Genomic DNA, 27,740 nt, shown 5'->3' on the forward strand with positions numbered 1-27,740 from the left:
CTCATGCATGTAATTCCAACACTTTGGGAGACTGAGGCGGGCAGATGGCTTGAGCCCAGGAGTTAAAGACGGGCCTGGGCAACATGGCAAAACCCCGTATCTACAAAAAATACAAAAATTAGCCAGGCCTGTAATCCCAGCTACTCAGGAGGCTGGGTGAAAAGATCACTTGTGCCTAGGTCAAGGCTACAGTGAGCCATGCTTGTGCCTCTGCACTCCAGCCTGGGGGACAGAGCAAGACTCTGTCTCCAAAAAAAAGTTGTAATTTGTTCGTTACCATAGGTAAATCTTAAGGTTGAATTGTTGTCTGTTTTGTGGAAAGCAAATTACTTATTCGATGTCCTTTTTCCAGGCAAGAAAAATAGACTCCAGTGCTGTAATTTTTTTCACTGGAGGAGTGCTAATGTTGTATCAATCTTTACAGTATCCAAATACACAATGAACAAAAGTTAGCCCCCATAAGAGATGAAAATTGTACTACCTGGAATTTGCACAATTGTTTGAAACATTTTCCCGTTTTTGTGTGATAAAAGCACAATCTAGGGTGGAGGGTTCATACTAACTGGAAGTAAGTTTGTCAGAAGAATTAACTTTAAATACAATGCTAACTTGGATTAAATAGTAAACATAAAGTCTAAAGGCTCTCAAGATTTATCTGATTATCAATTTTGAAAAGCAGCTAATGTCATGGAGACAGTTATATGAGTAACCTGGCTCTATTTTTTTTGGTATTGTTTCTTTATAAATAGCTTACTTATTAAAATTCTCATTAGCAACAACAAGCTGGAGGCCAATTAAGCCATAAAATGTTGGAGAAATGGTTGGGTTATATGTGTGAAATTCTCATAGTGTGCCCTAAAGACGTAGTTGCCATTTAAAAAAAATTTTTTTTTTTTTGAGGCGGAGTCTCGCTCTGTTGCCCAGGCTATAGTGTAGTGCTGTGATCTCAGCTCACTGCAACCTCTGCCTCCTGGATTCAAGCTGTTCTCCTGCCTCAGCCACCTGAGTGTCTGGGATTATAGGCGTGCGCCACCATGCCCAGCTTATTTTTGTATTTTTAGTAGAGACGGGGTTTCACTGTGTTGGTCAGGCTGGTCTCGAACTCCTGATCTCATGATCCGCCTGCCTTGGCCTCCCAAAGTGCTGGGATTACAGGCATTTAAAAACTTTTTAGGCTGGTCACGGTGGCTCATGCCTGTAATTTCAGGACTTTGGGAGGCTGCGGCAGTAGGATCACTTGTGGCCAAGAGTTTGAGAGAGCAGTTATAGTCTCTATAATGAAAATCTTTTTTTTTTTTTTTTTAAAGACAGAGTTGCACTCTGTGGCCCAGTGGCGCGATCTCAGCTCAGTGCAGCCTCTGCTTCCGGGGTTCAAGTAATTCTCATGCCTCAGCCTCCCTAGTAGCTGAAATTACAGGCATGCACCACCACACCTGGCTAATTGTATTTTTAGTAGAGATAGGGTTTTGCCATGTTGTCCAGGCTGGTCTTGACCTCCTGACCTGAAGTGATCGCCCGCCTCAAACCCCCAAAGTGCTGGGATTACAGACATAAGTCATCACACCCAGCCTATAATAAAAAACTTTAAAAGTTTAAAAAAAAATTTAAACTTCATAGAGGTTCTCGAATATTATCTTTCTTTCATTAAGAAATCATAATGTAGTTTTTGGCTAACTTGTGGAACCAATTTTTTTGGTCAAATATTGAGAGTGAAGTTTGCTACCTGTAACTTAAAGTAACATTTAGAGACATATTTTACTCAGATTGACCCTAATTATATATCTATGACATGATTTTTAAATTGAAATCAGCTGGGCATGGTGTCTCATGCCTGTAATCCCAGCACTTTGGGAGGCCGAGGTGGGGGGATCACCTCAGGTCAGGAGTTTGAGACCAGCCTTGGCCAACATAGCAAAACCTGTCTCTACTAAAAATACAAAAATTAGCTGGGCATGGTGGCACATGCCTGTAATCCCAGCTACTTGGGAGGCTGAGGCTGGAAAATTGCCCGGGAGGCAGAGGTTTCAGTAAGCCAAGATTGTGCCACTGGACTCCAGCCTGGGCAACAAAGCAAGACTCCGTCTCAAAAAAAAAAAAAAAGTAGTTCTTTATTTACCATGCGATCTTTCCAGTACACTTGCTAATTGCTACTCCAGAGCATAGCCAGATGTGGCCCACACCTGTAATTCCAGCACTTTGAGGAGGACAAGATGAGCAAATTGTTTGAGTCCACGAGTTGGAGACCACCCTGGGCAACATGGTAAAACCTCATCTCTACAAAAAAATACCAAAAAAATTAACCCGGCGTGGTATTGGGTGCCTGTAATCCCAGCTATTCAGGAAGCCAAGTTGGGAAGATTGCTTGAGCCCAGGAAGTTGAGGCTGTAGTGAGTTGTGATGGTGCCATTGCACCAGCCCGGGTGATAGAGCAAGACCTCTGTCTCGAAAAAAAAAAAAAGTATCAGTATATATGTTAAAGTATTTATTAAAGTATACAACAAATATATGTAAATAATACAGTCACAGTATCAGAGTATAAAATGATTACTGAAAAATAAATTAATTTGAATAGTTACTCCAGAAAATAATCAATGGGGATTCTACTTGAAAATTCACTTTTTTATTTTGGAATTGTGTTGATTTTTATCCTGACACCCTTTGTTCTGGTATTAATTTCCATTACTAAGTTTTCCCAGCTTACCTCCTTTGAATGAATTGGGCCTTTTGCCAACCTTTTCTCACACTAACAGTATCCCAAGAGTGGTAATGGGTGGGCATGAATGAGAGGTTCTAGGTTCTTGGTGTGGGTCGCAGAGATCTGTTTTTTCTGTCTCACAACCCGCTTAGGTGAATCTGTCTCTGTCATCAAGCACACTGATCCCGTCCCTGACCCACGAGCTGTCAACCAAGATAAAAAGAACATGCTGTTTTCTGTAAGTACTTTATGAAATGTGTTTTTATTTACAGACATTTCCAAAGCCTAATCAAATGTTATGTTTTTCACTGCCAACCATCACTGGCTATCATTCTAAAGGATAATCACACTTTTCATGGTCAGTCTTAGGTGTCAGAATATGGCAGTAACATAACGTGTGACTTAGATGTCTTTTAATTGGCAAGTTTTGGGGGACCAAAAAATAATGACTAGCTTATACATCTTCAAACTCTTACCTGCAAACATAGTTGAAAAGTAGATTTGTTTGGAAAAGCCTTAGCCAATAAAGGGTATTTTCAAAATGATGTAGATGACAGCTGCTATTTGTATGTGGTTCACAATAAAAAGGTGCGTGTTTAGAGAGAGAGAGAAAGCAAACATGGCAAACCATTAATAATGGTGAGTCTAGGTGCAAAGTATATGAATGTTCATTTTACTATTTCACTTTTTCTATTGATGTGAAAAATTCTTTGAATAGTGAGGAAATGATTTTAAGTTGGGGACATTTGTGGGTTTGTATGAGAACCTGACTACTACCCATAGTAAGTAAATAGAGGTACCCTGAAAATAGTGAAGCCATGTCCTTCTCTTATAACACTAGGAATTAAAGTGGCATGGGAGAGACTGCTCACATTTGATTTCTTTGGTTTTTGGACCCTGTCACATGAGTAGGGGTTGTCAAGATAGCCCATGGGGCTAGTTGCCGTTTCTATTACAGTGAGAAAAGTAGGGGCCTTGAGTTGTTGGAGCCAGAAGTGGAGAATGCTTAGAGTTGAACTATATGAGTTTGAAAAATTGGGAACACAGAGGGGTTAAGAGCACTGCTTGAAGATGGTCTGCAAGCCGGGCTCAAATAGAAATCTAGGTGGGTCAGTACAGAGCTGCCTGACATAAGTAAGTAGCACATGGAGCATTGCTTGTTGTCACAGTTGTATGGCTGGTTGCTTGAACAGTAGCCAGTGGAAGACCTAGTAGAATGTGTAGAGAATCTGGGTGCCCTAGTCAAAAACCAGCGTCGGTATTTAAGTTGGGATGTGGTATTCATCTTGTGACCAGTTCTCTACTTCTGTCCTAGGGTACAAACATTGCTGCTGGGAAAGCTATGGGAGTGGTGGTAGCAACTGGAGTTAACACCGAAATTGGCAAGATCCGGGATGAAATGGTGGCAACAGAACAGGAGAGAACACCCCTTCAGCAAAAACTAGATGAATTTGGGGAACAGCTTTCCAAAGTCATCTCCCTTATTTGCATTGCAGTCTGGATCATAAATATTGGGCACTTCAATGACCCGGTTCATGGAGGGTCCTGGATCAGAGGTGCTATTTACTACTTTAAAATTGCAGTGGCCCTGGCTGTAGCAGCCATTCCTGAAGGTCTGCCTGCAGTCATCACCACCTGCCTGGCTCTTGGAACTCGCAGAATGGCAAAGAAAAATGCCATTGTTCGAAGCCTCCCGTCTGTGGAAACCCTTGGTTGTACTTCTGTTATCTGCTCAGACAAGACTGGTACACTTACAACAAACCAGATGTCAGTCTGCAGGGTAAGAGGAGTAATTTAGAATATTCCGTGTCGTGGTTCTTTGTTCATCCTACCAATATGCCTTCATGCCATCAAAACTTTTGATTTGTAATTTCATACATTTCTGTGGGCTGTATGTATAGCCTGAGCTTAATTTCTAATATTTGAGAGGATCTAATCATTTAATTCCTAAAACTTTCACAAAATACAGGATATCTGTATGGCTGATATACTTGTATTAGATGTAAGAGAATTAGAGAAATTATATTTTCCTTTAATTAAAAAAAAAAAAAGCCTGGGCGCAGTGGCTCACGCCTGTAATCCCAGCACTTTGAGAGGCCGAGGCGGGTGGATCACCTGAGGTCCGAAGTTTGAGACCAACCTGACCAAAATGGTGAAACCCTGTCTCTACCGAAAAGACAAAAATTAGCTGAGTGGTGGCGTGCACCTGTAGTCCCAGCTACTCGAGAGGCTGAGACAGGAGAATTGCTTGAACCTGGGCAGCGGAGGTTGCAGTGAGCCAAGATCACACCACTGCTCTCAATTCTGGGCGACAAGCAAGACTCCATCTCAAAGAAAAGAAAAGAAAAAAGACAAGGTCTCATTCTGTTGCCCAGGCTAGTGTGCAGTGACACAGCTGTGGCTCACTTACAGCCTCAACCTCCCAGGCTCAAGTCCTCCCACCCCAGCCTCACAAGTAGCTGCAACCACAAGTGCATGCCACCATGCCCCACTAGTTTTTTTATTTTTTTTTGTAGAGGCAGGTTCTCACTATGTCACCAGGCTGGTCTTGAATTCCTGGGCTCAAGTGATCCTCCTGCCTTGGCCTCCCAAAGAGCTGGGATTATAAGCATGAACCACCACACTCAGCCTCCTTTCTAATTTTCCTGATCCTCTGTCTCTAGGTGTATGTTAATAGACAAGTTCTAGAGAAAGCTGCTAGTTAACCTCCCTACCTGAAGTCCTAATTGGTTTTTCTATCACATGTTGAATGAAGCGTGCTTTTTCTCAAAAAGTAGATAGTCATCTCTCTGTATTCATTAGAGATTGGTTCCAGGACCTCCCTCAGATACCAAACTCTGCAGATGCTCAAGTCTCTGAAATGAAATGGTTCAGTACTTGCATATAACCTTGTTCATCCTCCAGTATACTTGAAAACATCTCCAGATTACTTACAGTACCTAACGTAATATTATAAATGATATGTAAATAGTTAAACTGTGTTGTTTAGGGATAGTTAACCTGTGTTGTTTAGGGAATAATGACAAGAAAAAAATGTACATGTTCAGTACAGATGCAGTTATTTTTTCCATCTGCTGTTTAGTTGACCGTGGATGTGGAACCCACAGGTACAGAGGGCTGACTAAAATTGCTTTTAACTTGCTTTATTCTGTGTATTCATCATATATATTTTTGTTTGTTTGTTTGTTCTTGTTTTGAGATGGAGTTTCACTCTTGTTGCCCAGGCTGTAGTGCAATGGCCCGATCTCAGCTCACTACAACCTCCGCCTTCTGGGTTCAAGCAATTCTCCTGCTTCAGCCTCCCAAGTAGCTGGGATTACAGGCATGCGCCCCCACGCCCGGCTAATTTTTTGTATTTTTAGTAGAGATAGGGTTTCTCCATGTTGGTCAGGCTGGTCTCGAACTCGCGACCTCAAGTGATCCACCCGCTTTTGAAAGCCTCCCAAAGTGCTGGGATTATAGGCGTGAGCCCCCGCGCCCGGCCATCCTATATTTTTTGACCATCATTTGATAAAATAAATAATTTAAACCTGCTGTTAGAAAAGTAACAACTGAATAAATAATGCAATAATTATACAGCTGGATTATTTTGTATAATTCACTTTCCTTAGGTTTTGCTTAAACAACTTGGTACAAGTCTATTCCAAAAGGTACACATGACTCATACAGAGTAGACATTTGTCACATATTTTATTCGGCTCATTAATTAGCAAGGGAATCTGTATTTGAGGAAGTGTTCAATATTAGAATATTAGAATAGGGATTGCTAGGTTAGATTACAAAACTAATGTCTTACAGGGAAACCTCATATAACATGAGCATTTATTTAGTAACACAGTGTTACATTTTCCTAGAATGGGCTTGTTAAATAATGCTTCTGTATGATATTGAAAGGGTGTAGTTATCTTGGCCTTTTTGTCAGGTTTTAGATAATTATTTTTAACATCGGAAATTGTTTTATAATCAGTTAAGCCCTGTGAATTTTTATCTTGCCAATTTTAAGCTCATGATGATTTTTTAGATACAGGTTCTCCCTCCCCCGCAAGCTCCTTGTGAAGTCCAAACCCACATTTAGAATTGACAGAACTGGGGTGTTCCAACTTTCAAAGTGGAAAGCTTCTAGGTTTGTCTTAGGTTTCTCCAGGATATTAAGGTGTTTGAGCTACTTAAGTTCTTATTTTTTGGAACCAAAAGGTTGGATGAATTGGCTAAAAGTCAGTTTTGTCATACTGGTTGTTTCAGGAAGAGAAAGGGAATTTTCTTATTTACGATTTTGTGTCTCACTTAGCCTGAAAGCTTTAATTCCTCAGAATAGTCTTTATGTCTGTGAAAGTAAGCCATGTGTAAAGCCATGTGTAAAATTGTAATTTTTAAAATTTCAGTTTCCCAGTTCACTATAATTTTTTTTTGTTCTTTTCTCCCTTGAATGGCTTGGCTTAAAATGTTTTCTTATAATAAAGAAAAAGCCTGCCTGTTCTGAGTGAAGCTCTACCTCACAACAGGAAGCTGGTGCTAATTGGTATTCTGCAGGAGGCTTCTTGCAGTGGTATTGCATAACTGCCCTTGACTTAGGAAGATTTTCATCCTGCATATCCTAAATGGTTGACTTGCTCACAGTCAAAAATGTCTAAGTACATTTAGATTTAGCTAATGTAGATTCAGATTCTGAATGTCTTTTAGAATATTTTGGGCTTTGGTATAGACTCAAAGAATTTCACATTTTTGGCTGGGCACAGTGGTTCACGCCTGTTATTTCAGCACTTTGGGAGGCCGAGGCGGGCGGATCACCTGAGGTCAGGAGTTCGAGACCAGCCTGACTAACATGGTGAAACCTCGTCTCTACTAATATTACAAAAATTAGCTGGGCATGTTGGCAGGCGCCTATAATTTCTTTGGGAGGCTGAGGCAGGAGAATCACTTGAACCCGGGAGGCGGAGGTTGCAGTGAGCCGAGTCGTGCCATTGCAGTCCACCCAGCCTAGGCGACAGAGTGAAACTCCACCTCAAAAAAAAAAAAAAGTTATTTTAAAATAAAGATTAACTAATTTCCTTATTGAATGTGAGATGAATTGCTCTGAAAAGATGTGTTTTTAAAACACAACATAGCTTTGTTGTTGCTGTTATTACGGAGTTTTGCTCTGTCGCCCAGGCTAGAGTGCAGTGGCGCAATCTCAGCCCACTGCAACCTCTGCCTCCCGGGTTCAAGCACTTCTCTCCCTCAACCTCCTGAGTAGCTGGGATTACAGGTGCCCACCACCACGCCCGGCTAATTTGTTATATTTTTAGTAGAGACGGGTTTCACCATCTTTGCCAGGCTGATCTTGAGCTCCTGTCCTCATGATCTACTCACCTTGGCCTCTCAGTGCTGGGATTATAGGCGTGAGCCACCGTGCCCAGCTCAACGTGGCCTGTTTAACTTGAGTTTTACATTTTTTAAATTCCCCTTAGAGAATGATTTGATCAGATTATTAATTGCTCATATTTCAGAGAAAGCACGAGAAAATATAGTTTTGACATCACTTTCTGTAATTTTTTCTTTTTAGAGGAGGTTTTACAAGTTTTCATTTGCAATGAAAACACAAGCCTAAATCTTACTTTTCCAAACTGGGCTTCTGAATTATAATTTGTGAATGCAAATCAAGCAGTGGAAAAATTATCTTTAAGAAAATAGCTTATGTCGCTTTAAAAAATAAAATTAATCCTTTCCTAAGCATGCTTCCATCTGTATTGTCTAGGGAACATCAATTCATTCAGCTCTGCGGGCTCCTTACTGTATACATATAGTTATGCAGCTTCATAGAACATGAGCTATTGCCACAATAAAAATAAGTGGGAAGGAGCAGAGAAGCAGTTTGTCTTATTTTACTCGGGAAATGTTTATGCAACTCTGAAATGTGAGTTTATTCTTCCCAAGCTTTTGTGCTTAGCTCTAAGGCAGGACTACCTAATACCACTCTCACAGCCAGCCATTTGAAATTTGGGATTCTGAGCAATCTAAAGAGTAACTTGTCTCTGGAACTGACCTTTTGCTGACCGGGAGTCCTCATAACTTGGATTTTGTGTGGGTTGTTGTGTCTTTGGTGCCACTGCTGCTCATTCATTCAGCACCTCAGTGATGCTGTTTTTCATACTGTTCGATTGGTCGGGGGTGTGATGGGCGAAGCAGTCTAATATAATTAAGCTAGTTAGGGTAAGGGACAGTACTGCTGATGCTGAGTGAGCCTCAGTGAGTTTTATTAAAGTTGTTTTCGTAAATGAAAGAGGTTGTTTGCCTTTGTCCTAAGCTAACAAAGGTAGTTTATTTGTGTAGCATTTTTTAAAAATCCCTTTTAAATACTCTGATGCGCTCTCCCCCTACAGATGTTCATTCTGGACAGAGTGGAAGGTGATACTTGTTCCCTTAATGAGTTTACCATAACTGGATCAACTTATGCACCTATTGGAGAAGTGTGAGTAACCCTCCTCCTCATTTAAAGGATCTGGTGTGGCAGTTTAGTATTTGTATTGATTTGCAGCATGTCTACAAAGTTAAGACAGCTTTCTGAATGTGGCTCAAGTCAACACTTATTACTAAAGTAGTAAATGTTTTTAAAACAAAAACTTTGAAAGATGAACCAAAGGTTATAATCCAGTCATCTTTTTGCATCTTCTGGGCTCCAAACTTTCAAGAGGGATTTGTGTTTGTTATTCACTGTAGCCAGTGGTGGAAGAATTGAATTAAGAATTTCTGGTCTTTTTACTGATTGATTTCTGATACCAGAGATGCATTCTCTCTTTTGTTTTTGTCTAATATTGGCTCTGGCATCAAATTGTTTGGAATTTTTTCCAGTATGTTGTCCCAGAAATTCTGTTTTCATTATTAAACAATTGCGGGGGGGCAGGGGGCGGGAGGAATCAATAGTGGCGACCATACCCTGCTCTAAGAGTGTTTTCTCTTTGGGCAGGCATAAAGATGATAAACCAGTGAATTGTCACCAGTATGATGGTCTGGTAGAATTAGCAACAATTTGTGCTCTTTGTAATGACTCTGCTTTGGATTACAATGAGGTAAGTCTCTTCATAAATTAGAAGGAATGGCTGTTCCTAGTTCAAGGGTGGGGTGGGTGGAATGAAAGTCTAGCCTGCCTTCCTCCCTTTTGAAAGTCAAGGGTGCCTGATTTTGTTTCCCCCTTCCATTCAGAACCTGATGGTGGGGCCAGCATGACCTCACCAAAGAAAGCTGAGAGCCTTTCACATATCCTCTGTGACTGAGCATTGCAGTTAGTTAACTTAAAGTTGTAGTATATGTGATGTTCTTTCTGTTGATAGCATACTTACTATAAATGAATAAAACCCAGGATAGAAAATGCTTTCCTGAAAGCAAAGGATATAGTTTCTGTCTCAAAGGTAAGCTAGTCCCTGTCAGAGACAGAATGTGAACTCTTCAGAATGATAAGCAGTGACATGGAATTACATTATTATGTGAAGGCACTCTTTGAATTAATAGTGTGATCAGTGGCTTCTTATATTTGGGTGAAATAATAAATACTGTGTTTGATGTCATCTTATATTTAAGGGAAATGAAAAACCTACTTATTAGAATAAGATCACATGCACACCTGTACTTTGAGTATGTTTTTAATTATCTGGGTCACCTGTTTCAGAGGAGGATAAAAATGGCCTTACAGTGTTGTAATAGAGGACAGATTGTGCTTTTGTGGAAAAAAAATATTAAAGATAAATTTATCTGTGTACTTCTCCCTTTTTTCTACTTTCTGTGCCTTTAACCAATACAGGCAAAGGGTGTGTATGAAAAAGTTGGAGAAGCTACAGAGACTGCTCTCACTTGCCTAGTAGAGAAGATGAATGTATTTGATACCGAATTGAAGGGTCTTTCTAAAATAGAACGTGCAAATGCCTGCAACTCAGTGAGTATTTGAACCTGGTTTATTGTTCATGCTGCTTATCAGTCGTACTATATATACTTAGTGTCTGCACTGTCCTACTCTCTTAGAAAACTAATTATACCTTATCTCCTCAAACTTACAGTATTTCCTTCCCCATATTCACTCTCAGGTAAGATGCTCTTCCTGTGTATTTGACCAGGAAAATAAAAGCAATCAATAGCTAATTTCCTTGAGCGACCCTCTGGGCCCACAGGGGCTGCCTTCTCCCATAGTGCTGTGAACAGTGTTCTTGCTCCTAGCAGAAGCCACCTCCTCCCAACATCTTTGCTGCATTATTGATTTCCATCTCTACTAGATGTTCTTCAGCATAGGGGGAAATAATAGTGTCTTTCTATCTTGAAACTTTCCTTTGACCTTATTTCCCCTGTCAGCTACCACACTTTCTTTTCCTGTTCAATTAAACCTTTTTTTTTTTTTTTTTTTTGAGACAGAGTTTCTCTCTGTCACCAGATTGGAGTGCCATGGCGCGATCTTGGCTCACTGCAACCTCCACCTCCCAGGTTCAAGCGATTCTCCTGCCTTAGCCTCCCTAGTAGCTGGGATTACAGGCACACGCCACCACGCCTGGCTAATTTTTTGTATTTTTCGTAGAAAGGGGTTTCACCATGCTAGCCAGGCTGGTCTCGAACTCCTGACCTCAGGTGATCCGCCCACCTCGGCCTCCCAAAGTGCTGGGATTACAGGCATGAGCCACCGCGCCTGGGCATCAAACATTTCTTAACTCATTTGATGAGACCAGCATAACCAAATACCAAAGGTCAATGTGGTGATGGTGGTGGCAGTGGCAGTGGCAGTGGCAGAGGGCACCCACATTGTTCATGTATACACTGAACAAATAAGTGGCCTCTGAGCCTTTTTCTGCCTGTCAGAGTCTTTGAGACAGGGCTCATTCGACCAGCATCACTATGACAAGGGCCAGTAGCAAGGATGGGGAGTCTCCACAGTGAGTTGGACCTGAGTGAGGTTCCTCTCAAAGAGCTGCTGCTCCCTCCTGCCAAGACCACCATACTGGACCTGTCCTGCAGTACTGCCCTTAGATTTCTGTGGCCTCACAAGCCCGGGGAGCCTAGACCTCAGTAGAAACACTTTGCAACGGCTGCTGGTGAAGAATGGCCATCCATTGAGTCTCTAGCACCTGGGTCTCCTCAAAAGACTGGTCCCCCTGCCTGTCACTTGGCTCAGCTTAAGAACTTGAAGTGGACCAGGCGCAGTGGCTCACACCTGTAATCCCAACACTTTGGGAAGCTGAGGCGGGAGAGTCACTTGAGGCCTAGAGTTTAGGTTGCAGCATCACTGCACTTGAGCCTGGGCAACAGAGTCAGACCCCATCTCAAAAAAAAATTAAGGCCTGAAGTGGCTAAACTTGAAGGATAACTCCCTTTATCTTATCCTGGCCAAAGTGGTAGATGATTGCTTGGATGAGAAGTGATATGCAGATAAGATGTTGCAATACACAAAGTCTGTGTGGGTCAGTCGGTCACGTGGGTGCCAAGGACAGGTGGGAGAGAAGAAGCAAGCTACAGAAGCAGCTCAAGAATGGGAACTGCGGAAGCTGATTGTATTGGAGGAAGGAGTGTGATGCTCTCAGAGCAGCCAGGGAGGAGCAGAAGGAGCTTAGGGACGTAAGTCAGGCTCTCAAAGTCTATGTCTGGTTCCTGCCCCCACAAACCACCACCCAGGAAACATCATTCCTGAGCTGTGTGGCAGCAGCAGCAGCTGCTCCTTTTATATGGCAGACAGGGTGATTGCTTGTTGGGCAAGAGCCCTCCTACACTATCTTAGAGTGAATACCCTCTATCTGCAGTCCAGGGTCTGCACAGCCACATGGTCCTCTAATAGGTCCACCAGACCATTTGCCTGCAAACAGCCTCATCCTCAGTGCCCACTGTCTCCTAGCTGTGGAGCTTGGATTCCTATGGAATTGGGTTCTGCTGAACATACCTCTTTTTAGCATCAGACCTACCTGTCTGTCATCACCATGGGGCTGCCAGTCAGTACTTTTGCAGCCTCTTTATAGGACATTGTTGTAACTTAGGGTTCCCTGGTAGAATAAGGAGCGATGGGAAGGGGAGAGGTTCTGCCTGCCTGAAGGAACAGGTCTGGGGGAGGAGAGAGGTAAAACTCAGCCTTTTCTAGTTGTCATACACAGCTGTATAAAGGCAAGCCTCATTTAGCAAAATGATTAGTTGTCACCACGTTTAATGCTTTTTGTATGTCATAAGCCCTTTCATCCCTTCCTGGATAATAAGGGCAAATGAGGAGGCATTGTGTCATTGGGGGGTAGTACAGCCTGAGTTGGGAGGGAGCAGTATACCTGTTTTCTTAATAACCTCAAATATCAGGCATTTTAGTGACCACACAAAATCTCAGGGTGAAAAGTTCTAGACCATCATGTCCAGCCTGCAGTTAGGGACACCTAGCCCTTCCATGACCTGTATGGCGTGGTCTTCCGGTTAGTGTGAGGCAGCATTTTGTCTCCTTTATACTGTCCTGAGAAAACAAAACTCACACTGGAATTGAGACTGTCTCAGCTGAAATATAGATTCCTTTTCAGTAAACTGATGCACAATTCACAAATAGCAGTCTCAAAGCCATGAAGGCCTTGGACCACTCCTTTGGCTTCTTCCCTCTACCCATGTGTCTTCCATGAACCCGAAGCAGTCCAGGCTTATTCACTCTGCCAGTAAGCAAGGAGTTGGATCCTGGCAGAGCCACGCTGCCTGTGATCTATTAGTTGGTGTAACTAAAAATCTGAGGCAGCCTGAAAACAGCTTCACAGATTGAGGGTTTGAGTCGTTTGATTCTAGACCTCTGACTACTCCACTGAGTGATGGGAAACAAGTCATGTAATGGGGCTGAACCAGCACTGGCTCACTAGCCAGTGACCACACAAGTACGGGCAATACTGTCATCCTTGTGTCTCCCTGCTCCAGAGCTCCCTTGTCCCATCTTTTTCACATCCCTTGGCCAAGGGATCGGAAACAGCTGTCATGCTGCTCATTCACTAAGGAGTTCCAAACACAAGCTCTTTGCCTCCCTTCCCACTTGAGACAGCAGGAACCCATGTGTAGTTTAGAAGCAGAGAGAGCAGGTCCAGCATTTTGGCCCCATGGCTTGTTTGGTGAGGTCTGTGGTTCTTGGCCAGCCTAGTACTGAAAGGGATTTCCCTCCCCCACTCCCAGCCCAAGACCTCTTACCTGGGTAGGTCCACGCCTTCCTCAGAATCATTGCGTGTTCCTTTAGTCATCCCAGTGCCATTGGCGCAAATGCTTAATTGAAACTAAACACACGTGTGATTGAGATGATACAGAATCTAGCGTAGCACTCATACCCATTCCTTTGCTGCCTGAGACGGTTCAGTGGCTGGCAGGCCAGCAGGATCGCTGCAGGGCCCTGAGCCCCATCTAGTCAGTTCATCAGCCTTCAGTCCTCCCGTAGCTTCCTAGGTTAGATGCTGATGTTCTTGGGGATTTCTATGATGATTTTTAAATGTGTGTCAGTGGGAGCAAATATAATTAACTCACCACATTAACCAAATTAAGGTGGAAAAAACAATAAGGTCACCTCAGTAGGTGCATATGATGAAACGCATCTTATCACACCAAACTAAGACTATAAAAGTGTGTCTTTAACGCTGACAGTGTGTTTACACAGAGACCATGCTAACATAACAGAATTCTCACCATTTCTATGCAGTATTATACTGGCATTCCTGGTCTGTGTAATAGGCAAGAAAAGTACAAAAACTGGAAGAGAAGGGGTATCTTTAGTTGTAGGTAACGATATAAAGCCAAAGGTTTATTCTCAGTCTTCGTCTTCCTATTTTGTTGGTGCTGTCACTCGCTCCCTCTTTGAAGCACCTCTTCACTTGGCTTCCACGATCCCATACTTGCTCTCCCTCCCTGGCCTCTCATTCGAGGTCTTTGTAGCTGGGTCTTTCACAAGGCACCAGGAGGTGAAGGCTCCATAGTCCTCAGCCATTTCTGTCTATAGTTACTCCCATGATCTCTTCTGGTCTCATTACTATAATCAGTAGCCACTAGCTATCTAAAACTACTTAGAATACCTAAAAACACTTCCTTAGATGCCCTAGCCATATTCACTTAAAGTGCTTATCCATCACGTGTGACAGCCACATGAACAGTGGCCACAGAGCATTGCCATCTTTCACAGAGTTCTGGTGGACAGCTCTGCTTGGGGCCATCTCTTCACCTCCAACGTTCCCTAGTTTAAGTCAGTGTCATTATACTGAATGGTATTCCTTGTCTCCCTTCAGCCAATGCTTTTGTTTTTTGAGATGGAGTTTGCTCTTTCGTCCAGGGTGGAGTGAAGTGGCGCAATCTCATCTCACTGGAATCTCTGCCCCCCTGGCTTTAAGCAGTTCTCCTGCCTCGGCCTCCTGAGTAGCTGGGATTACAGGTGCCTGCCACCACACCTAGCTAATTTTTGTAGACAGGGTTTCACCATGTTGGCCAGGCTGGTCATGAACTGCTGACCTCAGGTGATCCACTGCACCCGACCACCTTCAGCCAATTCTTGACAACTGGAGCTTGAGACCCTCCGTTGTCTTCTGTTTTACTTGTCTTAAAAGCCAAATGCCCCATAATGACTTTTGAGGTCTTAATGACCTGCTTCTACCATCCTCTGCCATTACCTGCCTCACCTTTTGCTCATGTAAACTCTATTCCAGCCACGTTGGCACTCCTTTACCATTCCAGGACTTGCCAGGTTGCACTTCCGTTCTCTGCCTGGTGGGTCTTCACCACCACCCACTGGGTTCACACACATCTTTTCAGGCCCCATGGGGCCATCTTTATTCAAATGTCACCGCCTTCTGGCCACTTTATGTAACAGTTCATATGTATGTATGCAAATTTTCTATCCCCCTTCCCTTTTTCTCTATAGCACTTGTGTTACTTTTGCATCTTAGTCTGTCTCTCCCAAAATAGGGGACAAGTTTCATGAGGGCAAAAACCTGTCTGTTTTGTTTATTGCTATATTCCTAGCATCTGTCATGTAATAGGTGTGCTTACTGCTTGTTAGGTAAAAAAGTTCAGAAATTGCCACCCAGTAGTATCCATATTTGTTCCCTTTGTAGGTCATTAAACAGCTGATGAAAAAGGAATTCACTCTAGAGTTTTCACGTGACAGAAAGTCAATGTCGGTTTACTGTACACCAAATAAACCAAGCAGGACATCAATGAGCAAGATGTTTGTGAAGGCAAGTATGGCAGATTGCAATTGAGATGTTCTTGCCAGGGTTAAGATCCCGGTGAACCAATAAAACAAAATTGTTTATCTAAATCTGTAACATTTCCAGGGTGCTCCTGAAGGTGTCATTGACAGGTGCACCCACATTCGAGTTGGAAGTACTAAGGTTCCTATGACCTCTGGAGTCAAACAGAAGATCATGTCTGTCATTCGAGAGTGGGGTAGTGGCAGCGACACACTGCGATGCCTGGCCCTGGCCACTCATGACAACCCACTGAGAAGAGAAGAAATGCACCTTGAGGACTCTGCCAACTTTATTAAATATGAGGTTAGCTAATGAAAAGTTTCTTTGTCCACACCCTGCACGATTCATTGTGTTTAAACAGTACTCCTTCAAGCAAAAGGTCAAACAGTTCTCACTTTTGCCAAGAAAGAGGTGTGGTTATTTGTTTTTCTGCCTGCCAGCTGTGTCACCCTTAAAATTTGCTGCTTCAAACATACATAGTTAATAATTTCATAAAAGTGTTATTTTCAAAGTAGAATATTTTCAAAGTAGAATAATCAAGATGAGCTTAAGCTTGTAAACCCCATTTTGCCTCTCATCTAAATCATGATTTTTTTTAAATTGGTGACATTTCTAGAATATTCATTAGTTACTGAAGGTCAAAAGATCCAAGTTGGAGATTACTTCCACTTTTCTACTCAGAGTAGAATTCTTTTATATCAAGGATGTGACATCCTAAAGCTATGAACAAAATGAAGAAGCTTTGGTACTGTGGGCTCAGAATAGCACAAGAGTTAAAGAATGGTTTGATAACGGGTGTAGTGGTATTTTTTTTTCTCATAAGAAAATGCAAAAACCGCCAGGCACGGTGGCTCAAATGCCTGTAATCTCAGCACTTTGGGAGGCCGAGGCTGGCAGATCACCTGGGGTTGGGGGTTTGAGACCAGCCTGACCAACATGGAGAAACCACATCTCTACTAAAAATACAAAATTAGCCAGGTGTGGTGGCGCATACCTGTAGTCCCAGCTACCCTGGAGGCTGAGGCAGAAGAGTCTCTTGAACCTGGGAGGCGGAGGTCGCAGTGAGCTGAGATTGCGCCATGGCACTCCAGCCTGGGCAACAAGAGCGAAACTCCGCCTCAAAAAAAAAAAAAGAAAAAAAATGCAGAAACCTGTCTCAATGTTTAACTGGGCATTTTTCAAACTAGGGGACAAAAACTAGAACTTGCCACTTTTATTTAAAGTGATGCTCTTATTTTAGACCAATCTGACCTTCGTTGGCTGCGTGGGCATGCTGGATCCTCCGAGAATCGAGGTGGCCTCCTCCGTGAAGCTGTGCCGGCAAGCAGGCATCCGGGTCATCATGATCACTGGGGACAACAAGGGCACTGCTGTGGCCATCTGTCGCCGCATCGGCATCTTCGGGCAGGATGAGGACGTGACGTCAAAAGCTTTCACAGGCCGGGAGTTTGATGAACTCAACCCCTCCGCCCAGCGAGACGCCTGCCTGAACGCCCGCTGTTTTGCTCGAGTTGAACCCTCCCACAAGTCTAAAATCGTAGAATTTCTTCAGTCTTTTGATGAGATTACAGCTATGGTGAGCATGTTTGAACATGTACAGGTGACTCAGGCTACACAAGCACATAGTAGCCTCTAATTTTGACCACTGAATTTTTTTGTCATAGCTCCCTAATTTGGAATTTGTCATGATTTGGGTCTTTTCTCTAGAATTCGGTGAATCAGTGGTTAGCATGTTGTGTGCTACTTGCAGGGAAGATCCTAGAGTCGTTTAAAACCCAGAAGGGCCTTCCAGATCAGTCCCAGAGGAACAATCTGGTGATCTAGTCTCTTTTTTAAATGAGACGTGTTTTTATTGTAAGTTTTCTGAAAATTGAGGATGTAATCAGTCAGTTGTTTGGATCACCCTGCTTTTAAGTTCTTTAAGAGCTGGCTATTGATGAAGCATTTCCAGTATTCTTCCCCTCACCTGATTTTCACCCAGATACATTATGTTAAATTTACTTTCTTCTCTTTTAAAAAAAAATCTTAGTTTTGAAACATACTATAAGTGTACTCTCCTCTCCCCCAGAGGTAACTGAAGTTGGAATTTAGCAAAAATATTAAAAACATGGGAGTGCTGTTTTTGTGTCTGTAGACAGTATTATTTTTGCATGCTTTTGAAGGCATATTTTTTGGCCGAGTGCAGTGGCTCATGCCTGTAACCCCAACACTTGGGAGGCCGAGGCAGGTGAATCACTTGGGGTCAGGAGTTCAAGACCAGCCTGGCCAACATGGTGAAACCCCGTCTGTACTAAAAATACAAAAAATTGCTGGGTGTGGTGGTGGGCGCCTGTAATCCCAGCTACTCGGGAGATTGAGGCAGGAGAATCGCTTGAACCCAGGAGGCGTGCAGTGAGCCGAGACTGCGCCACTGCACTACAGCCTGGGCGACAGAGCGGGACTCCATCTCAGAAAAATAAAAATTTGCATATTTTTGCAATCTGCATCTTTCTACTTGAAATTTATCCATGTGGATACAAGTGCTTCCTCTTGACTGCCACATAGGTTGTGTTTTTGTTTTTAGTAAGATAATACAGATAAATTTGAAGTCCCCTTTGTCCCACTTCGGTAAACTTATTTGGTAATTTTACATTTCCTAGGTAAAATGTGTTTTGTGACACCAACTTATGAAACAAAAATTCTAAAACTCTTTGCCAAGAGACCTACGGCTCTATTCATTTTCCTCCTGCTTCCCATTCAGTGGGCTTTTGCCTAGGGGTATGAATGTGGCATGCCAGTTGGCTGACCCAACCATTGCTTTCCCTTTCAGACTGGCGATGGCGTGAACGATGCTCCTGCTCTGAAGAAAGCCGAGATTGGCATTGCTATGGGCTCTGGCACTGCGGTGGCTAAAACCGCCTCTGAGATGGTCCTGGCGGATGACAACTTCTCCACCATTGTGGCTGCCGTTGAGGAGGGGCGGGCAATCTACAACAACATGAAACAGTTCATCCGCTACCTCATCTCGTCCAACGTCGGGGAAGTTGTCTGGTAGGTCTCTGTGACAGCATCACTTACTGTACGCCTTTATCTAAATGGGTCATGGAGCCCAGTTCTCGCAGTTTGCTCTCCAGATTGCAGCAGCTTTGGTCTTTGTGCCTGAGTTGGAAGAGGGGAGTGGGCAAGACAGAAATGCCTTATGGAAGCAGTGGTGCTTTGGCCCTCGGGAGGGTTGTCTGCAGCTGCCCCAATGTGCAAAGAATCCTCTTTAACGTGAGACTGAGCTAACATTAACCAGGTAGTCACATGAAATTCTTGCCCTCCAAAAGTTGGCTTTATCTCAGTCAGCTTAATAATTTTTTTATTTTTATTTATTTTTTTGAGACAGTCTCGCTGTCGCCCAGGCTTCGGGCAGTGGCACGATCTCAGCTCACTGTCCCCTCCACCTCCTGGGTTCAAGCCTCCCGAACAGCTGGGATTACAGGCATGCGCCACCACTCCCTGCCATTTTTTTGTGTTTTAGTAGAAATGAGGTTTCACCATGTTGCCCAGGCTGGTCTCTTAACTGCTGAGCTCAGCCAGTCTGCCCACCTTGGCTTCCCAAAGTGCTGGGATTACAGGCATAAGCCACCGCACCTGGCCTCAGTCATCTGAATTTAAGTAATAAACTAAGTAAAATTGAGCTTTAATTCAAAATTGGGTATAAGTATTTTACAGATTACCTGAAGTTGTTGTCATTTATTTTTCTGGAGGAGGGCGGGTTGATGATGCTCTTTAAATAGTGGCCAGAAGTCATTTGGGCTCTCTTTGTCTTCTTTTCTTGATTGGAAACAGTATTTTCCTGACAGCAGCCCTTGGATTTCCCGAGGCTTTGATTCCTGTTCAGCTGCTCTGGGTCAATCTGGTGACAGATGGCCTGCCTGCCACTGCACTGGGGTTCAACCCTCCTGATCTGGACATCATGAATAAACCTCCCCGGAACCCAAAGGAACCATTGATCAGCGGGTGGCTCTTTTTCCGTTACTTGGCTATTGGCTGTGAGTACAATTTTTTTATATTACTGATTTTTAAACAAAATGTTTGTGAGCTGAAATTTTGTAAATTCATCCCTTAAAAGCGTGTTTTTTCTTCTATCCCCGTATAGGGTAGCAAAAGACAGAGATGCCCTCTTACAGTTCGATGAACTATACATCCAATTTACCAGAGTCCTTTCACAGTTAGTTCCAGTTTTAGCATCCTGCCCTTACTTGGGCTTTTCTGAATGAGCAATTAAACATCAGGGTTTTCAGATTGAGCCCTCTGTGCAAAGGGATAAGAATGATTCACGCTAGGTTCTGCCTTCCAAGAGTTCATAGGTGGGATTTAAATAGATAATTGTCACCAAGTTATAAAATTTAGTCCCTGTTTCCATAAGAGAAGGGTTGCGCAGTGGCTGGTCCCTTTTATATATAAATCATCTCTTTAGCCCTCATCTTCCTCACCCCGGGTTCTTCCCCATTTCATAGATTGGGAAAGTGAGGTGAAATCACTTCCCTGGGATCCCATAGGAAGGCATTGTGTTTTCATAATATATTCACATGACTTCAAATTCAAAAAGCACACAATGGCATAGAATGGAAAGGGTTTGGGCCAGTCACTTCCCTCTGGCGTTGAGGTGCTCATGTACCCTGTGCCCTTCCGGAGAGATTCCAGCATGCTGTGCACACCTGCATGTTGACCCTTGTCTTGCCTTCTTCCTGCTTGTCAGATCCTTCCATATCCGGACATGCGTAGTGCCTCATCCTTGCAGCCAGCGGCCTTCATGCTCCACTGTAATTCGTGGGTTAGTGGGTATATGCACTTGTTGTTTTTGATGCTACCACATGGGGATATTTGCCTCGTCTGAACTCTGTGTATTCTCTGCTGCACCTTGTTGCTTCTTTGCAATAAACTTCCTGAACTCAAAGCTAATACTGGGGGGAATCCCAGAAGCTGCTGAGGGCAGGGCCATGCTGCTCAGTGTTCCACCCTAGCTCCTGACAGCATTTCCCTAGAAAACTGCTGCTGGGCCTCTAATGGAGCAAATAAATCTGTGTACAACTAGGCAGCAATAGTTTGTCCAAAAGTCCTGGTGTAATCTAGTCCCTCAAACTGTGCAGCCTTACATGGAGTACACACACACTTGCAGCCTTGAAGTACTACCCACTGAGGGGAGAAGGCACGGCAAGGGGAAAGGTTGGCACAGGATGGAGCAAGTGCTTTTTCTCACACATTCTGGAGGAAAAGTTATCCAGTTCTTCTGTTCTAGAAACACCCCTGTCCTTCAGAAACCAGGGTCTAGTTGCTCTGGCTACCAGGCGTGAGCAGGTGGTGGTAGCACCACAGGCCCCGGTTACCATCACTGTCCCATGTCTTTGATCTTCGTCCTTGTGGGGACTGGCCTGCATGGCCTCGGTGGCAGCGAGCCCTGCAGAGGCAAGTGCATCAGCATCACTGTGTTTGTTCCCAGGTTACGTCGGCGCTGCTACCGTGGGTGCTGCTGCATGGTGGTTCATTGCTGCTGACGGTGGTCCAAGAGTGTCCTTCTACCAGCTGGTACTCAGTCACCTTTCTTTCTGTACCTTACATGAGAAGTGTTGTGAGGCCTTGACCTTTCTGTGGTTTCGGTATCTATCAAATCATCTTAAGACTCAGACAATAAACAGTTACATCTAAGATGATTCTGAAGGACCAGGGCTTCTCCGAGAAATTGGGGTAAACCTCTTGGCTGGCTCTGCATTCAGGCTGGTCTGTGCTAGGCTTGGTATGGGGTTGGAGCCTGGACTTGGGAAATATACTGGGCTGATAGGAATTTGATTGGATTTTCTTGCAGAGTCATTTCCTACAGTGTAAAGAGGACAACCCGGACTTTGAAGGCGTGGATTGTGCAATCTTTGAATCCCCATACCCGATGACAATGGCGCTCTCTGTTCTAGTAACTATAGAAATGTGTAACGCCCTCAACAGGTTAGTGCACCTTCACGGCAGGCTGAGGCGAGCATGGTGACTGCCAGGGCACCGGGGAATTGTGTGTAGTCACGGTTGATTGAGGATCACAGGACAGTTCTTCCCTTCCCAAAAGAAAGGAGAACAGGCAATACCAGTTTTAAAAGCATGAGCTGTCGTCACCTCCAGGAAGTAGTGGGAGTGCTTAGCCCTGTGTTTCTTAGGAGCTCTTCCTTAAAAGAAACCGTGGGGGCCAAAAATAGGAACTTTGGTACCCCTGTATGCCAGCACCCACAGGGAAGGAACCTCACCCTTTCACACAGACAAATGGTACCATCCAGTTAAGCCCGTGACAAAAATGGAAATTTCTAAATAGCCCAAGTCTCCAGGGCAATTGGGAACAGCTTTGAACCCACTAAGATGGGGTCTGCTATGCCAAAACATAGATACAGAATTCACAGTTTGTCCTGCATTAGGACATTCTCTTCAACTTTGCCACTGTAGAAAGTGGAGGTAGGTCAGCGGATGGTGCCACATTAACAGCCGCCTTACTGAAGTGTAGTCCAACAGGGTCTTACTGCCACTGTGACACGTGCCTTGCCTTGGGGGTGCGTTTCCCCACCTCTCCTTGCTCTGCAGCTTGTCCGAAAACCAGTCCTTGCTGAGGATGCCCCCCTGGGAGAACATCTGGCTCGTGGGCTCCATCTGCCTGTCCATGTCACTCCACTTCCTGATCCTCTATGTCGAACCCTTGCCAGTAAGTGGTTGGGTGGGGCTTGGGACCAGCCACCTCCTTCCAGGGGAGGCTGGAGGCGTGACACGTCTTCCCTGTGTGTCAGCTCATCTTCCAGATCACACCGCTGAACGTGACCCAGTGGCTGATGGTGCTGAAAATCTCCTTGCCCGTGATTCTCATGGATGAGACGCTCAAGTTTGTGGCCCGCAACTACCTGGAACCTGGTAAAGAGTGTGTGCAGCCTGCCACCAAATCCTGCTCGTTCTCGGCATGCACCGATGGGATTTCCTGGCCGTTTGTGCTGCTCATAATGCCCCTGGTGATCTGGGTCTATAGCACAGACACTAACTTTAGCGATATGTTCTGGTCTTGACTGACAGTTTTCCATAAAGAAGATGTTTAACTTAATCAATTAATTTTTTTATTGTTTAAAGCAACTGTCTATTTCTGCTGAATTTTCACATGAACATACTGGCTGGTGATGGAGGTTTCATACTCTAGATTTTGTTTTGCTTTTTCTGACTCCAGTGGGGCAAGATTTTCCTTTTTTATACACATAATTAAAGTGTCCATTGACATGTACAGAGAACTAACACTATTTTATGCAAATATTTTTTTGTAGATGAAAAAGCATGTACAGTGTTCTGTTTAATACTCATCCTTGTATAAAAAAAATAGTTGAGCCAGCAGACATTGTCAGCAAATTAATTGGCAGCAGATTTTAGGAAATGAATGTGTGTGGTTTTTTTTCTAAAACTAAATAGCATGTATTGTGTCTTTTGCATGATGATCCGGATTTAATTTGATATCACAGTCTAATTTTTATTCATAAGCCAATTTTTCTGCACTGAGCAGAGTCTTGCTACCTCAGTCAGTATTGTTTTGGTTTGCTACTTCCCTCACCCACTTTGGCCTCCGTTCACCCCACCCCACCCCACCTCTCCCCACCTTACCCCCGCCCCGCTTGGCTTCTTCTTTAGGATTGTGATGGTTCGTTCTGTTTACATCAGTTTTAACGAGAGGTATGCCTGTACTCGCTTGTGCAGAAAACATTGTTCCAGATTCAATCGACTGGGTTTATGTCCCTTCACATAGTTTTTAAGGTTATTTATTTAAATGTCTAATGTATTTTATTGTAACAGACATTGTTTTGCCAACATTGCCTATTTCAGTGGCACGTCATCTAGTTTTAAAAAAATAAAACATTTTAAATGGACAGAGAAAAATAACTGTCTTGTCTTTAACTCGTAAGTGGCTTACCTGGGACTAACAGACATGTCCAACTTTCTCTCCAGTTCTTAGCTCAGAACTTTAGTTGTACTCTGCTTGAGGGGAAGAAGGCTCCTGCTCTGCTGTGTAGGTAGTCATAGGAATTGTATTCTTAATGTACAGGCACTAATTGTCATCTGTGATGTACATTTTATGCAAGTTTCTGCTGGCCTGGTATAGAGAACATAAGGGCAAGTGTGTATGTGTGTGTATGTGTGTGTTTTGTAAAATCTGTAAATAGCACATGACCAAATGAACATATTGTATAGAACTATTTTTATTTGAATGTGGCACTAACCACCACCACCGTTACTACGATCAATGTTTGCGCATGTTCGAGATGAGTCTCACCAACAGTGTGTAAGTCATTAACAGTCCTAACTGTGGTGTTTTCCTCCAATGCCTTCCAACATCCATCAACTAACGTGAGTATTTTCTTCCTGGGATTTGGATGCTTTAGCCTAAAGGTGACTGCCACCAAGTGAGATAACTGTATGTCACTAACTTATAAGCCGCCTCCATGGCAGATGCTGCTGTGCTCCCTGATGCCCTGTGAGCACCGGGGTTGCCTGTGGCGCCTGCCATGTGACTCGGGCGCAGCATCAGCTGGCTGGAGGTGTGGCTTTCATAGACCTCCACAGGCTGCCTAGGACAAGATGACCAGGAGGGCCCAAGCCAGACAAAAGCCGGAGTGGGGAGAGAGGCATTTCAGCCAGACCAACAGGCTGAAGGAGCTGTGCAGACTATTGCTAAAATGAGGGTTCGCAGCTGCCAGGAGTCATCCCAGAACATTGCTACTTATTTATTAAAAAGCTAAAAACTAGTGAAAGCAAGTAACTGAACCAGTGAACTCTGGGTATCGATAGGTTCGTCTTAAATAGGCCACTTCCCCACTCCCCCACCCCCCCTTGCTTGGTCTTGTCCTTGGTGGCTAAGACTTAGCTCTGCAGGGGATGTTAAAGCACAGTTAGTAGGACGTGGCTCTGCACAGCCCAAAAACCAGCTTACTCCTTAGCCAGGGTGTGAGGCCTCGACTATATTCTTCAAAATGTACTTAGGCTCTGGTTACTGGGATGGCCAGTAGATGTAATGCAGATGGTTGGAGTTTGGGGAGGGTTAGGAGGCATCAAGCAGGACAAGGTGCTGCTGAGTTCAGAGGGCCCACGTTCAAGGGATGGAGGTGGAACCTGGAGACCGACTCTTAAAAGCACAGTCCGTGGTTGGGTGTGGTGGCTCATGCCTGTAAGTAAGTCTCAGCCCTTTGGAGGCCACAGCAGAAGGATTGCTTGAGCCCAGGTACTCAAACCAGCCTGGGCAACAGAGTGAGGCCCTGTCAAAAAAAAATCAGCCTTACTGTGAAGCCTCCAAGGCTGCTCGCAGGCAGCTGTGGCTCTCGGGAAGGGAGGCTGCTTTGCCCAGCAGGGAACATTTGGGGCAGGGGGTAAATTTTGCCAGTTTGAGCATCATGAGGTGTAACAAGAAATGGGTTGAATGGGCCAAATGCAAGGAGTGCATCTCTGGGCTGCAAACTGACTTGAGTGCTGCACTATTGCTATTCCGTGCAAACAAAACTCAGCTTTTCCTGACTCAGTTCCTTGACTTAGTGGCCTTTACAAAAAAAGTTGAGTAGTGTGTGGCCTGCTGTCGCACAGCCCCTAGTTAGCTTCATGGTTTCTCAGCTTCAGACCCCTCCAGCCCACAGAGGAGCCCATGGAGGGACCCACTTCCCTTGGTCCAGACAGCTGGGAGTGGGTTAGGCCCACTGCTGTTTTGAGCAGGGCCACTTGCTCCATTTCACTGAAGGCTTTGCTGGGTGAAAACACTTCAGCATCTCCTCCTCAGGTCAACCCATAAAGACCAGGTCCAGCACCGTGGTCTTGGCACATCCCTGGCCTCAGGCCCTCACCTAACAGTGAGGCAGCAGCTGCCCAGCCCCGCAATGTGCCTGCTGTCAGGCAGCTCTTGCCTGAAACTTACTTCCACATTCTTTCCTGATGGGCAGGTGGCTGAAGGCCCAGCCATCAGTGTCGCTTGTTGCCACCCCGTGCCTCCCTTGGCCTCTCTGAGCTTTGCCCAGAAGACCAACAATCATACATACCCTAACTGGGACACCACTCTGCAGAATGCAGATGATCCATTCTGGAGGAAGCTGTCCCTTGAGCTCAGTGAGCTCCCAGGCAAGCAGGGCATCTGGCCGACTTCCCTCACAACAGCTGCTCCCACATCCCCTCGGACTGGAGCTTCAGCCCTGACTGAGGTGGGCAGACCTAAGACCTGAGACCACAAGATTAGCTCAGTGTCTACCAAGCATCTAGCCACTGTCCAGGGCCAGAGCATACCACGTCTGCAGTGCCTGTGAGCAGAGCCAGCAGTTGCCCTGTGACTGTAACCACCAAATTGTCCAAACACCCGCTGCAGTTAGCAAGAAGGGTAGGCTTCACCCTCCTTTACTGAGGAGAATGATGCGGAGGAGTTTCCTCTCCAGGGCTAGGCAAGGCAGGCGAGCAGCCAGAAGCCGGGTGCCCACAGGGCAGGGACAGGAAGGCTGTGCTGCTACTGGCTGCTCACTTCTCCATCAACCTCACCCTCTGCACCACTAACCAAGACCTTGTCCTCTTGCCTGTCTCGCTGCTTTCACAGCTGCAACGATTGTGTCTGCCTCATGGGGTTTTCCTCCAGAGCCTTTATTCTGTAGCCAGACGACACGAGGAGTCTGTGTCACTGAGCCAGTGCTTCTAGATGCTACCCTGTGTGGGCGGCACCTCAGGGACAGTAAATCAGAAATGCTGGTCTTGAAACCTTGAAAAGATCAAGCTGAATGTTCCTTTTCATCTGTCGCTGTTGATCTTCATCTATTTAAATAGGTATTCTAACGTTTCCTCTCTGTATTTCATGAAGCTGATTTCCTCTCTCTTTCCTTTTCAGCAATACTGGAGTAACCGCTTCCTAAACCATTTTGCAGAAATGTAAGGGTGTTCGGTTGCGTGCATGTGCGTTTTTAGCAACACATCTACCAACCCTGTGCATGACTGATGTTGGGGAAAAAGAAAAGTAAAAAACTTCCCAACTCACTTTGTGTTATGTGGAGGAAATGTGTATTACCAATGGGGTTGTTAGCTTTTAAATCAAAATACTGATTACAGATGTACAATTTAGCTTAATCAGAAAGCCTCTCCAGAGAAGTTTGGTTTCTTTGCTGCAAGAGGAATGAGGCTCTGTAACCTTATCTAAGAACTTGGAAGCCGTCAGCCAAGTCGCCACATTTCTCTGCAAAATGTCATAGCTTATATAAATGTACAGTATTCAATTGTAATGCATGCCTTCGGTTGTAAGTAGCCAGATCCCTCTCCAGTGACATTGGAACATGCTACTTTTTAATTGGCCCTGTACAGTTTGCTTATTTATAAATTCATTAAAAACACTACAGGTGTTGAATGGTTAAAATGTAGGCCTCCAGTTCATTTTCAGTTATTTTCTGAGTGTGCAGACAGCTATTTCGCACTGTATTAAATGTAACTTATTTAATGAAATCAGAAGCAGTAGACAGATGTTGGTGCAATACAAATATTGTGATGCATTTATCTTAATAAAATGCTAAATGTCAATTTATCACTGCGCATGTTTGACTTTAGACTGTAAATAGAGATCAGTTTGTTTCTTTCTGTGCTGGTAACAATGAGCGTCGCACAGACATGGTTTCAGGTAAATAAATCTATTCTATGATAAATTCTCAGTGTGGTGGTGACTGTTCTGTGGGAGGGGGACTGATGGGCACCAAGGGCCTCCACTCCGCACCCGGGCCTGCCCCTCTACAGGGAAGCAGGGGAGGCTCAGTCTGGGCAGGGTGGCCATGTGACTAGAGGGGACAGGAACCTCTTGGACTCGACTTCACAGTAGACAGGCTGACTGGCAGCAG

At 44.3% G+C, this 27,740-nt stretch overlaps 1 protein-coding gene across 6 annotated transcripts in view, besides 4 other annotated features; it reads left to right on the forward strand.

The window, feature by feature from the left end:
- The window catches only part of ATP2A2 (ATPase sarcoplasmic/endoplasmic reticulum Ca2+ transporting 2), a 70,478-nt gene extending 42,927 nt beyond the window's left edge, over nucleotides 1-27,551 (forward strand). For 3 of the 6 annotated variants that reach the window (NM_001413015.1, NM_170665.4, NM_001413013.1), the window contains 14 exons: nucleotides 2,848-2,933; nucleotides 4,011-4,475; nucleotides 9,055-9,143; nucleotides 9,639-9,741; nucleotides 10,470-10,601; nucleotides 15,739-15,861; nucleotides 15,961-16,179; nucleotides 17,117-17,452; nucleotides 18,686-18,906; nucleotides 19,690-19,892; nucleotides 21,344-21,429; nucleotides 21,707-21,840; nucleotides 22,459-22,576; nucleotides 22,659-27,551. In NM_001413015.1, coding sequence (NP_001399944.1) covers nucleotides 2,848-2,933; nucleotides 4,011-4,475; nucleotides 9,055-9,143; nucleotides 9,639-9,741; nucleotides 10,470-10,601; nucleotides 15,739-15,861; nucleotides 15,961-16,179; nucleotides 17,117-17,452; nucleotides 18,686-18,906; nucleotides 19,690-19,892; nucleotides 21,344-21,429; nucleotides 21,707-21,840; nucleotides 22,459-22,576; nucleotides 22,659-22,928 — 2,585 coding nt within the window. In that variant the 3' untranslated portion in view covers nucleotides 22,929-27,551. The remainder of the gene's footprint in view (nucleotides 1-2,847; nucleotides 2,934-4,010; nucleotides 4,476-9,054; nucleotides 9,144-9,638; nucleotides 9,742-10,469; nucleotides 10,602-15,738; nucleotides 15,862-15,960; nucleotides 16,180-17,116; nucleotides 17,453-18,685; nucleotides 18,907-19,689; nucleotides 19,893-21,343; nucleotides 21,430-21,706; nucleotides 21,841-22,458; nucleotides 22,577-22,658) is intronic. The other 3 variants (NM_001413014.1, XM_011538402.4, NM_001681.4) reach the window with 3 other exon arrangements.
- Nucleotides 15,452-15,551: an enhancer, noted in NCBI's record as "active region_7000". NCBI's record gives its function as "activates an Ori minimal core promoter by ATAC-STARR-seq in GM12878 lymphoblastoid cells {active_cell/tissue: GM12878}" and the evidence as "EXISTENCE:reporter gene assay evidence [ECO:0000049][PMID:35858748]".
- Nucleotides 16,959-18,158: an enhancer, noted in NCBI's record as "MED14-independent group 3 enhancer chr12:110778306-110779505 (GRCh37/hg19 assembly coordinates)". NCBI's record gives its function as "activates an origin of replication core promoter dependent on BRD2, BRD4, P300/CBP and CDK7 cofactors, and independent of MED14, by STARR-seq in HCT116 cells {active_cell/tissue: HCT116}" and the evidence as "EXISTENCE:reporter gene assay evidence [ECO:0000049][PMID:35650434]".
- Nucleotides 21,042-22,241: an enhancer, noted in NCBI's record as "MED14-independent group 3 enhancer chr12:110782389-110783588 (GRCh37/hg19 assembly coordinates)". NCBI's record gives its function as "activates an origin of replication core promoter dependent on BRD2, BRD4, P300/CBP and CDK7 cofactors, and independent of MED14, by STARR-seq in HCT116 cells {active_cell/tissue: HCT116}" and the evidence as "EXISTENCE:reporter gene assay evidence [ECO:0000049][PMID:35650434]".
- Nucleotides 25,651-26,198: an enhancer, noted in NCBI's record as "H3K27ac-H3K4me1 hESC enhancer chr12:110786998-110787545 (GRCh37/hg19 assembly coordinates)". NCBI's record gives its function as "activates a minimal SCP1, AML or CMV promoter by ChIP-STARR-seq in naive H9 embryonic stem cells {active_cell/tissue: H9 hESC(naive)}" and the evidence as "EXISTENCE:reporter gene assay evidence [ECO:0000049][PMID:30033119]".

This window comes from Homo sapiens, chromosome 12, assembly GCF_000001405.40.
Source record: "Homo sapiens chromosome 12, GRCh38.p14 Primary Assembly".
In the NCBI taxonomy this organism is placed as follows: Eukaryota; Metazoa; Chordata; class Mammalia; order Primates; family Hominidae; genus Homo; species Homo sapiens.